The following is a 12,459-nucleotide window of genomic DNA, read 5'->3' as shown; positions in this document are numbered from 1 at the left end:
GAAACTCTGTCTCAAAAAAAAAAAAGAATTTGCACATAAGTAGTAAAATTAGTTCAAAGCTTTTGGAAATATAAAAATAGTAAAAATTGGCTGGGCACAGTGGCTCACGCCTGTAATCCCAGCCCTTTGGGAGGCCGAGGCAGGCAGATCACGAGGTCAGGATATCGAGACCATCCTGGCTAACATGGTGAAAACCCATCGCTACTAAAAATACAAAAAAATTAGCCAGGAATGGTGGTGGGCGCCTGTAGTCCCAGCTATTCGGGAGGCTGAGGCAGGAGAATGGCGTGAACCCGGGAAGCGGAGCTTGCAGTGAGCCAAGACGGCGCCACTGCACTTCAGTCTGGGTGACAGAGCAAGACTCCGTCTCAAAAAAAAAAGTAAAAATTGTCCAGGCGCAGTGGCTCATGCCTGTAATCCCAGCACTTTGGGAGGCTGAGGCAGGCAGATCACTTGAGGTAAGGAGTTCGAGACCAGCCTGGCCAACATGGTGAAACTCCATCTCTACTAAAAATACAAAAATTAGCCGGGCCTGGTGGCAGGCGCCTGTAATCCCAGCTACTCGGGAGGCTGAGGCAGGAGAATCGCTTGACCCTGGGAGGTGGACAGAGGTTGCAGTGAGCCGAGATCATGCCACTGCACTCCAGCCTGTGCGACAGGTGGAGACTCCATCTCAAAACAAAAACAGAAAAAAACCCCAACAAACAGATGAATGGATAAAGAAAATGTGGTACATATATATAATGGAGTACTATTCAGCCATAAAAAAGAATGAGATCCTGTCATATGTGACAACATGAATGGAACTCGAGGTCATGATGCTAAGTGAAATAAGGTGGGCACAGAGACAAGCTTCAAAAGTTTTCACTTATTTGTGGGAGCCAAAAATGAAAAACAGTTGAACTCCTGGAGACAGAGAGTAGAAGGATGTTTACCAGAGATTGGGAAGGGTAATGGAGGCAGGGAAGGCAGAATGGTTAATGGGTACAGAGATATAGTTAGATAGAATAAATAAGATCTAGTATTTGTTTGTAATGACTTCTGGATTAAGCATTTTAAAAAAGATCTTAGCTGGGCGTGGTGGCACATGCCTGTAGTCCCAGCTACTCGGGAGGATGAGGCAGGAGGATTGCTTGAGCCTGCTGGGAGGTCAAGGCTGCAGTGAGCAGAAATCACGCCACTGCACTCCAGCCTGAGTAACACAGAGAGACCCTGTCAAAAAAAAAAAGAAAAGGATTAAAAAAATTACTTGATAGCACAACAGGGTGACTACAGTCAACAATAATTTATTGTACATTTAAAAATAACTAAAAGAGGGCCAGGCGTGGTGGCTCACGCCTGTCATCCCAGCACTTTGGGAGGCCAAGGCAGGTGGATCACTTGAGGTCAGGAGTTCGAGACCAGCCTGGCCCACATGGTGAAACCCCGTCTCTACTAAAAATACAAAACTCAGCCAGGTGTGGTGGTGGGTGCCTGTAATCCCAGCTACTCGGGAGGCTGAGACAGGAGAATTGCTTAAACCTGGAAGGCAGAGGCTGGGTGTGGTGGCTCACGCCTGTAATCCCAGCACTTTGGGAGGCCAAGGCAGGTGGATCATGAGGTCAGGAGTTCGAGACCAGCCTGACCAACATGGTGAAACCCCCGTCTCTACTTAAAATACAAAAATTAGCCAGGCATGGTGGTGCACGACTGTAATCCCATCTACTCAGGAGGCTGAGGCAGGAGAATCGCTTGAACACGCAAGGTGGAGGTTGCAGTGAGCCGAGATTGCACCATTGCCCTCCAGCCCGGGCAACAGAGAAAGACTGTCTCAAAACAAACAAACAAACAAACAAACAAAAAAACCTGGAAGGCAGAGGTTGCCGTGAGCCAGGATCTCACCACTGCACTCCAGCCTGGGCGACAGAGTGAGACTCCATCTCAAAAAAAAAAAAAAAAGGCTGATCATGGTGGCTCACGCCTGTAACCCCAGCACTTTGGGAGGCTGAGGTGGGCACATCACCTGAGGTTGGGAGTTTGAGACCAGCCTAACCAACATGGAGAAATCTCTACTAAAAATACAAAATTAGTTGGGTGTGGTGGTGCATGCCTTTAATCCCAGCTACTTGGGAGCCTGACGCAGGAGAATCGCTTGAACCCAGAGGCAGAAATTGCAGTGAACCGAGATCGCGCCATTGCACCCCAGACTGGGTGACAAAAGTGAAACTCTGTCTCAAAAAACAAACAAACAAACAAACAAAAAACCCTAAACTAAAATAGTTTAATTTGATTCTTTGTAACACAAAGGATAAACGTAGGAGGTGCTGGATACCACATTTACCCTGATGTGATTATTATGCATTGTGTGCCTGTATCAAAATATCTCATGTACCTTGTAAATATATACACTTACTACGTTCCCACAAAAAATAAAAATAAAAAACTAAAAAAAGAGATAGTTATCTTTCATACAAGGAAAGTTCTCACTGTTTCTCCAAAATGAGACTCACTGTCATAATGATCATTGCACCAGTTGCTGGCTATTTTAATTACTCCTCAAATTAAGTCATAGTCTTGAATGTTCTGCTACCTAAAGGCCGAATTGTAGAGCTAACCTCCAATAACTTGTATAAAAAATAAGAACGAGGAGAGAAAAAAAAGAAAGCTCTTTCCTCCATCTTCCCCTGCCACCAAAATGGCGCATATGACTGTCCCGGCTGATGCTCTCAAGAACATTGACAGGCTGGGTGCTATGGCTCATGCTTGTAATCCCAGCACTTTGGGAGGCTGAGGCAGGCAGATCATGAGGTCAAGAGATCAAGAACATCCTGGCCAACATGGTGAAATCCTGTCTCTACTAAAAATACAAAACTTAGCTGGGCGTGGTGGCGCACGCCTGTAATCCTAGCTACGCGGGAGGCAGGGGCAGGAGAATCGCTTGAACCCGGGAGGCAAAGGTTGCAGTGAGCCGAGATCGCACCATTGCGCTCCAGCCTGGTGAAAGAGGGAGACTCCGTCTCAAAAAGAAAAAAAAAAAAAATAGAACATCAACAATGCCAAAAAGAGAGGCAAAATGCCAGGTACCTATTAGGCCATTCTCCAAAGTCATCGTCCAGTTTCTAACTGTGATGATGAAGCATGGTTACATTGGCGAATTTGAAATCACTGATGATCACACAGCTGGGAAAATTACTGTAAACCTCACAGGCAGGCTAAACGTGGGATCAGCCCCAGATTTGATGTGCAAAGATCTAGAAAAATAGCAGAATGATCTGCTTCCATCCCGCCAGTTTGGTTTCATTGTACTGACCACCTCAGCTGGCATCATGGACCATGAAGAAGCAAGACGAAAACACACAGGAAGGAAAATCCTGGGACTCTTTTTCTAGAGATGTAACACATATTTACAAATAAAATGCCTATGGACCAAATAAAAAAAAAAAGATGGCTAGCATGTACAAATAAAGACATGAATATATTATGCAAAAAGGGGCCAGGTGCGGTGGCTCACGCCTGTAATCTCAGGACTTTGGGAGGCCAAGACGGGCGGATCACTTGAGGTCAGGAGTTTGAGACCAGCCTGGCCAACATGGTGAAACTCCATCTCTACTAAAAAATACAGAAATTAGCCAAGCATGGTGGCACATGCCTGTAATCCCAGCTACTCGGGAGGCTGAGGCAGGAGAATTGCTTGAACCCGGGAGGCAGAGGTTGTAGTGAGCTGAGATTGAGCCACTGAACTCCAGCCTGGGCGACAGAGTGAGAGTCCATCTCAAAAAAAAAAAAAAAAAAAAGCAAAAAGGAAATATGACAAGCTTCCAAGATCCTCAGTTCTGTAATTGGTCATGAGCCCATAATTGGTAACTATGTTCCCTTCTGTAAGTATCCAAAAATCCTTGGGCTCCGATAATTGGGCTTTTTACCTGGTAGGATGAGGCAAAGCTTCATTCCTAAAGGGTCCGCATTGTCCTGCCTTCTTTTAGTTACCACAGTTTTTCAGTAACATGTATTATTGGGCATAGAAATAGTAAGAGGCACTCCAGAGAAACCCGGGATTCAGACACACCATCCTTACCCCCATGGTGTGGCAGCAACCCAGTTTCCTCCTGGTCATAAGGATCAATAACTCCAGCCAGTAGAGTAACCCCATTTTCTGCGGTTGGTTCAGTGGCCTAAAAAGTCCAACATGACCAGGTGGCAGTCTCATTTTCCAATTCAATGGTATCATTGTTGTGTCCCTGATGGAAGAATTCCTCCCTTGAGGACTAAGTCTTCCAAGTCAGCAGAGCTCAAACTTACCAAGACAGGAAACAAAAAATCTGCAAGTGGGTTATTTGGTAGAATAGTGAGACTGGGCGAGGTGGGAGGATGGTTTGAGGGCAGGAGTTTGACAACAGCCTGGGCAACATGGCCAGAACCTGTCCACGCCCCCACCAAACAAAAAGAAATACAAAAATTAGCCAGGTGTGGTGGCACGCACCTGTAGTCCTAGCTACTTGGGAGGCTGAGGCAGGAGGATTGCTCAAGCCCAGAAGTTCAAGGCTGCAGTGAGCCATAATTGCACCACTGTACTCCAGGCTGGGTGACAGAATAAGACTTTGTCTTTAACAAACAATTTTTTGATCAGGTGTGGTGGCTCACACCTGTAATCCCAGCACTATGGGAGGCTGAGACAGTCAGATTACTAGAGGCCAGGAGTTTGAGACCAGCCTGACCAACATGGCGAAACCCCATCTCTACTAAAAATGCAAAAATTAGCTTGGTGGCCAGACGCGGTGGCTCATGCCTGTAATCCCAACACTTTGGGAGGCCAAGGAGGTTGGATCACGAGGTCAGGGGTTCAAGACCAGCCTAACCAACATGGTGAAATCCTCTCTGTACTAAAAATACAAAAATTAGCCTGGCGTGGTGGCGCATGCCTGTAATCCCAGCTACTCAGGAGGCTGAGGCAGGAGAATCACTTGAACCCGGGAGGCAGAGGTTGCAGTGAGCCAAGATAGCGCCATTGCACTCCAGCCCCGGGGACAAGAGTGAAACTCCATCTCAAAAAAAAAAAAAATTAGCCAGGCGTCAGCTGGGCACAGTGGCTCACGCCTGTAATCCCAGCACTTTGGGAGGCCGAGATGGGTGGATCACGAGGTCAGGAGATCAAGACCATCCTGGCCAACCTGGTGAAACCCCATAAAAGTACAAAAAAAAAAATTAGCTGGGTGTGGTGGTACGTGCCTGTAAACCCAGCTACTCGGGAGGCTGAGGCACGAGAATCGCTTGAACCCGGGAGGCAGACTGCAGTGAGCCAAGATGGCGCCACTGCATTCCATCCTGGCGACAGAGCGAGACAACATCAAAAAAAAAAAAAAAAAAAAAAATTAGCTAGGCGTGGCGGTCAGCTACTTGGGAGGCTGAGGCACAAGAATCGCTTGAATCCGGAAGGCGGAGATTGCAGTGAGCTATGACACTCCAGCCTGGGCGACAGAGTGAGAGTTTGTCTCAAAAAAAAAAAAAAAAAAACAAACGGCCAGGCACAGTGGCTCACGCCTATAATCCCAGCACTTTGGGAGGCCAAGGCGGGCGGATCATGAGGTCAGGAGATGGACACCATCCTGCTAACACGGTGAAACCCCGTCTCTACTAAAAACACAAAAAAAATTAGCCGGGCGTGGTGGCGGGCGCCTGTAGTCCCAGCTACTCTGGAGGCTGAGGCAGGAGAATGGCGTGAACCTGGGAGGCGGAGCTTGCAGCGAGCCGAGATCGCGCCACTGCACTCCAGCCTGGGCGACAGAGCAAGACTTTGTCTCAAAAAAGAAAAGAAAAGAAAAAAAAACAGCGAGAAGAACGAGATCTAATATCTCTCCTTGATTCTGACTTGTATTCTGGCTATGAGAGAAAAAGCACTACATAATGGTCTCTCATTAAGACAGCAGTGTTGGCCGGGCGAGGTGGCTCACGCCTGCAATCCCAGCACTTTGGGAGGCCAAGGCAGGCGCATCACCCGCGATCAGGAGTTCGAGACCAGCCTGACCAACATGGAGAAATCCTGTCTCTATTAAAATACAAAATTAGCCAGGCGTGGTGGCGCATGCCTGTAATCCTAGCTACTCAGGAGGCTGAGGCAGCAGTATCTCTTGAACCAAGGAGGTGGAGGTTGCAGTGGGCTGAGATCACCCCATTGCGCTCTAGACTGGGCAACAGGAGTGAGACTCTGTCTCAAAAAAAAAAAAAAAAGATAGTAGTGTGCATGCTATAAAAAAGAATCCCAGCCTCTGTGCGGGGTAAAAAACCCAAACCATTCTTTCTGGGGTGTGGTCTCTCAAGTGGTGCCTTAACTGAGTCTTTATTTTTTTGAGATAGAGTCTTGCTCTGTTGCCCAGGCTGGAGGGCAGTGGCATGATCTCGGCTCACTGCAACCTTCACCTCCCAGATTCAAGTGATTCTCCTGCCTCAGCCTCCAGAGTAGCTGGTATTACAGGCATGCGCCACCACGCCTGGCTAATTTTCGTATTTTTAGTGGAGATGGGGTTTTACATGTTGGCCAGGCTGGTCTCAAACTCCTGACCTCAAGTGATTTGGCCTCCCAAAGTGCTGGGATTACAGGTGTAAGCCACCACATCTTGCCTTAACTGAGTCTTTAATACATCATTGCACCACACTAGGGGTCATGTTGATTTCTTCTGCTGTCTAAAGATACCACATGTGAGGCAGCAGCTGCAATTGGAGTCACCATCTAAATGAGTTTCCCATAGTCCACAGTCATTCTCTAAGATCCATCCAACCAGCATATGCCAAACGCCTGCCCATTCAAGTCTTTTTTTTTTGACACAGTTTCGCTCTTTTGCCTAGGCTGGAGTACAGTGGTATGATCTCAGCTCAGAAGCCTCTGCCTCCCAGGTTCAAGCGATTCTTCTGCCTCAGCATCCTGAGTAGCCAGGATTACAGGCACCTGCCACCACACTCGGCTAATTTTTGTACTTTTAGTAGAGATAGGGTTTCACCATGTTGCCCAGGTTGGTCTCGAACTCCTGACGTCAGGTGATCCACCCGCCTCGGCCTCCCAAAATGCTAGGATTACAGGCCTGAGCCACCCCACCTGGCCCCTTGCAAGTCTTTGAGGGTGGCACTAGTCTCTGCGACTCTCCAGGGATGTGATAATGCTTCTGGTTAACTGTCTTTTTAAAATTTTTTTTCTTTGAGACAGAGTCTCCCTCTGTTGCCCAGGCTGGAGTGCAGTAGGATGATCTTGGCTCACTGCAACCTCTGCCTCCTGGGTTCACGCCATTCTCCTGCCTCAGCCTCTTGAGTAGCTAGGACTACAGGTGCCCGCCATCACACCTGGCTAATTTTTTGTATTTGTAGTAGAGATGGGGTTTCACCGTGTTAGCCAGGATGGTCTCAATCTCCTGACCTCGTGATCCGCCTGCCTTGGCCTCCCAAAGTGCTGGGATTACAGGTGTAAGCCACTGCGCCCAGCCCTCTGGTTAACTGTCTTGACAGGAAGTGGAAGTTACAGGGACTTTCCCTTAGCCCTTTCCACCATGATTCTCTCACTCCATGGGTGGGAGAGCCAGTGTGGAGATTTGTCAGTTGCCATAGATGGCTATTCCTATTATACTCTCAGGAATTTGGAAATAACCACAGGGTGGGACCATAGATCAACGGAGCCCTCTGTGAGCTGGGGCTGAGCTAAGACTCCATCTAGCACCTGACCATCTATCTTTAAGCCCCTACTTTTAGTGATGAGCCACAGTGGCATTTTGGATCCTCAGGACTTGGCGTTAATTCAGAGCCAATGTCTAGGAATCCTCAAAAGGTTGGGTATTTTCTTCTCCCTGATGCACACTCTAGTAAACAGGGCATGTTCCTCTCTCAGGGAGAACCAAACTTCTCTCCAATTAAGTGACTCTGGATCTATGCTGACTTAGGTCTAAAATTCAGGCGAGAGACTACAACTCTTCACTATGGCAACTCAACTTAGGTTTTTGGCTACTAGAGCAAGTTTTTTGTTTATTTTTTTGAGATGGAGTCTTGCTCTGTCAACCAGGCAGAAGTACAGTGGTGTGATCTTGGCTCACTGCAACCTCTGCCTCCCGGGCTCAAGCAATTCTCCTCCCTCAGCCTCCCGAGTAGCTGGGATTACAGATGCACGCCACCACACCTGGCTAATTTTTGTATTTTTAGTAGAGATGGGGTTTCACCATGTTGGCCGGGCTGGTCTCGAACTCCTGACCTCAGGTGATCTACCTGCCTCAGCCTCCCAAAGTGCTGGGATTACAGGTGTGAGCCACTGCGCGCAGCTTATTTATTTATTTATTTTTAACAAGGTCTTGCTCTGTTGCTCAGGCTGGAGTGCGCTGGTGCAATTATAGCTCACTGCAGCCTCGGACTCCTGGGCTCAAACCATCCTCCCACCTCAGCCTTCAGAGTAGCTGGGACTACAAGTGTGCACAACCATGCCCAGCTAATTAAAAAAAAAAAACCAAAAAAACCTTTTTTTGGTGGAGACATGGTCTCACAATATTGCCCAAGCTAGTCTCAAACACCTGGCCTCAAGCAAATCTTCCTGCCACAGCCTCCCAAAGTGCTGGGATTACAGGCATAAGCCACTGTGTCCAGCCAGAATTTGATGTTTTGACATATATTTTATATCTATAGCCGTGAAGTCATTACCACAATCATGATAGCGAAGGTATGCATCACGCAGAAGTCTCCTTGTGACTGTAATCTCTCCCACCTGCCTCTCTCTGACCCCTCATACCCAAGAAACCACTGATCTGCTTTCTGTCACGATAGGTTGATTTGCATTTTCTTTTTTTCTTTTTGAGATGGAGTTTTGCTCTTGTCACCCAGGCTGGAGTGCAATGGTGCAGTCTCAGCTCACTGCAACCTCCGCCTCCCAGGTTCAAGCAATTCTCCTGCCTCAGCCTCCCAAGTGGCTGGGATTACAGGCACCCACTACCACACCCAGGTAATTTTTGTATTTTTAGTAGAAACGGGGTTTCACCACATTGGCCAGGCTGGTCTCGAACTCCTGAGCTCAGGTGATCTGCCTACCTCAGACTCCCAAAGTGCTGGGATTATAGGTGTGAGCCACCATGCCTGACCTGATTTGCATTTTCTAGAGCAGGGGTTGGCAAATGTTTTTTGTAAAGGGCCAAATAGTAAATATTTTAGGTGTTGTAGGACAACAGATAAAAAGTAGTATATTATGGCAGGGCACAGTGGCTCACGCCTGTAATTCCAGCACTTTGGGAGGCCGAGGCGGGCAGATCACTTGAGGCCAGGAGTTTGAGACCAGACTGACCAACATGGCAAAACCCAGACTCTACTAAAAATACAAAAATTACCCAGACATGGTGGCGCATGCCTGTAATCCCAGCTACTGGAGAGGCTCAGGCATGTGAATTGCCTGAACTCAGGAGGCAGAGGTGGCAGTGAGCCGAGATCACACCACTGCACTCCACCCTGGGTGACAGAGCGAGACTCTATCTCAGAAAAAAAAAAAAAAAAAAAGAACAAAGTTAGTGTTCCCTATCATCAAAGTCTATGACAAATGTTTATCTGTTAATTCTAATCTGTAATGAGATTTGGCAAAAATAGTTTTTCCTGAAGATAGGTATTGCCAAATACAGATAGCAATCCACAAGCATATGATGTCACGAGCACATTCATCATTTGAAAGGCATTTATAGAATTCTATTTGGACTCTGGCCAGGTGCGGTGGCTCACTTAATCCCAGCACTTTGGGAGGCCGAGGTAGGTGGATCACTCGAGGCCAGGAGTCCCAGACCAGCCTAGGCAACACGGCAAAACCCCCCTCTCTACTGAAAATACAAAAAAATCAGCCAGGCCTGGTGGCGTGTGCCTGTAATTCCAGCTACTTGATGCTCAGTATCATTTGAACCTGGGAGGTAGAAGTTGCAGTGAGCTGAGATGGTGCCACTGCACTCTGGCCTGGGCACCAGAGCAAGACCGTGTCTCAAAAAAAAAAAAAAAAAAAATCTATTTGGATTGGATTTTTCTCTTGCTATCTGCCTTTTAGCATGTCACTACATTATGGTTTAATCACTTGAGATGTGTCTCAATTTCACTGAAGTCCTAAAAATGCTACTGGAACTGCAGTTTGAGATTGGAAATGTAGCTCCTAAAAATCTATATGGGAATGGACATCTTGCTCCTTGTTTTAACTTTGATATTATGGGCTGTGTATAAGGCAGCTTGACATCGCTTGTGATTCAAACAATATACCATCAATGAAGTTACTTTACAGCAGCATACGTTAAACATATACGTGCTGTTTTGCCTTATAATTTTAGGTTGAATTATTAAGAGATATTATCAAAACTGCTTCAAAAGCTAGCTAACAAAGCCTCTCAGTGTTTGATAGCAGTGGTTATGTGTGGTTCTTCTTTGTTGTTGTTGTTGTTGAGACGGAGTCTCGCTCTGTCGCCCAGACTAGAGTGCAGTGGCATGATCTAGGCTCACTGCAACCTCCACCTCCCCAGGTTCAAGCGATTCTCCTGCCTCAGCCTCCGGAGTAGCTGGGACTACAGGTGCCCGCCACCAAGCCTGGCTAATTTTTTGTATTTTTAGTAGAGACGGGGTTTCACCATGTTAGTGAGGATGGTCCTCAAGTGATCTGCCCACCTCGGCCTCCTGAAGTGCTGGTAACACAGGTGTGAGCCACTGCACCTGGCCCGGTTCTTATTTAGAAAAATTTCAGGCCGGGTGCAGTGGCTCACACCTGTAATACCCGCAATCTGGGAGGCCGAAGCAGGTGGATTACCTGAGGTCAGGAGTTCGAGACCAGCCTGGCCAACACAGTGAAACCCCGTCTTTACTAAAAATACAAAAAAAAATTAGCCAGGTGTGGTGGCGGGCACCTGTAATCCCAGCTACTTGGGAGGCTGAAGCAGGAAAATCCCTTGAACTCGGGAGGCAGAGATTGCAGTGAGCTGAGATAGCACCACTGCACTCCAGCCTGGGTGACAGAGTGAGACTCAGTCTCAAACAAAAAAAGAAAAGAAAAGAAAAAAAAATTCAATCTCAGCCCGGAGTTAAAAACCATATGGCTGTGTGTGGTGGCTCATACGTATAACCCCAGCACTTTGGGAGGCTGACACAGGCAGATTACTTGAGCCCAGGAGTTCAAGACCAGCCCGGGCAACATGGCAAAACCCTGTCTCTGCAAAAAATGCAAAAACTAGCCAGGCGTGGTGGCATATGTGTGTAGTCCCAGTTTCTTAGGGAAGTAACCTTAGGTGGAAGGGTCACCTGAGCATGAGAGGCAGAGGTTGCAGTGAGCCAAGATCACACCACTGCACTCCAACCTGGGTGACAGAGTGAGACCCTGTCTCAAAAAAACAAAACAAATCAAAACCATAAAATTTAGCACTTCCAAGACATCAAACTACTGTATGGCATGGCAAGTCAGGATATTCAGCTTGTATTTCTAACAAAAATTTATGGAACTGACAGTTAAATCCACACAAGCAAATGAAGTTCACAATTGACAGTACTGGTTCAATATCTTATGACAGATTCAAAAATGTGTGCAAAGTACCTGCTGATGAATCATACAGTTAATAACCATAGGCTTTTTTTTTTTTTTTTTGAGATGGAGTCTCCCTTATCGCTCAGGCTGGAGGGCAGCGGCGCGATCTCCACTCACTGCAACCTCCGCCTCCTGGGTACAAGCGATTCTCCTGCCTCAGCCTCCTGAGTAGCTGGGATTACAGGCATGTGCCACCATGTCCGGCTAAATTTTGTATTTTTAGTAGAGATGGGGTTTCATCATGTTGGCCAGGCTGGTCTTGAACTCTTGACCTCAGGCAATCTACCCGCCTCAGCCTCCCAAAGTGCTGGCATTACAGGCGTGAGCCACCGTGCCCAGCAACCATAGGCTTTAAACACCTTACATTTGCACAAGCTTTGTAAATTCGTCCAACAAAGGCTTTTTCTGCTCCATATATATATATAATATATATATTATATATATATATATTTTTTTGAGACGGAGTCTTGCTCTGTTGCCCAGGCTGGAGTGCAGTGGCACTATCTCGGCTCACTGCAAGCTCCGTCTCCTGGGTTCACGCCATTCTCCTGCCTCAGCCTCCCAAGTAGCTGGGACTACAGGCGCCCGCAACCACACCTGGCTAATTTTTTTTTTTTTTTTTTGAGATGGAGTCTCACTCTGTTGCCCAGGCTGGAGTGCAGTGGTGTGATCTCGGCTCACTGCAAGCTCTGCCTCCCAGGTTCACACCATTCTCCTGCCTCAGCCTCCTGAGTAGCTGGGACTACAGGCACCCGCCACCACACCCAGCTAATTTTTTTGTATTTTTAGTAGAGACAGCGTTTCACCGTGTTAGCCAGGATGGTCTCGATCTCATGACCTCGTGATCTGCCCACCTCGGCCTCCCAAAGTGCTGGGATTACAGGTGTGAGCCACCGCGCCCAGCCTATTTATTTTTTTTTGAGATGGACTTT

At 47.3% G+C, this 12,459-nt stretch overlaps 1 pseudogene; it reads left to right on the top strand.

The window, feature by feature from the left end:
• RPS15AP33 (ribosomal protein S15a pseudogene 33) lies at positions 3,021–3,406 on the top strand (annotated as a pseudogene).

This window comes from Homo sapiens, chromosome 16 (assembly GCF_000001405.40).
Source record: "Homo sapiens chromosome 16, GRCh38.p14 Primary Assembly".
In the NCBI taxonomy this organism is placed as follows: domain Eukaryota; kingdom Metazoa; phylum Chordata; class Mammalia; order Primates; family Hominidae; genus Homo; species Homo sapiens.
Note: the sequence above shows the minus strand (reverse complement) of the source record. Positions and strands in the feature narration are given on the sequence as shown.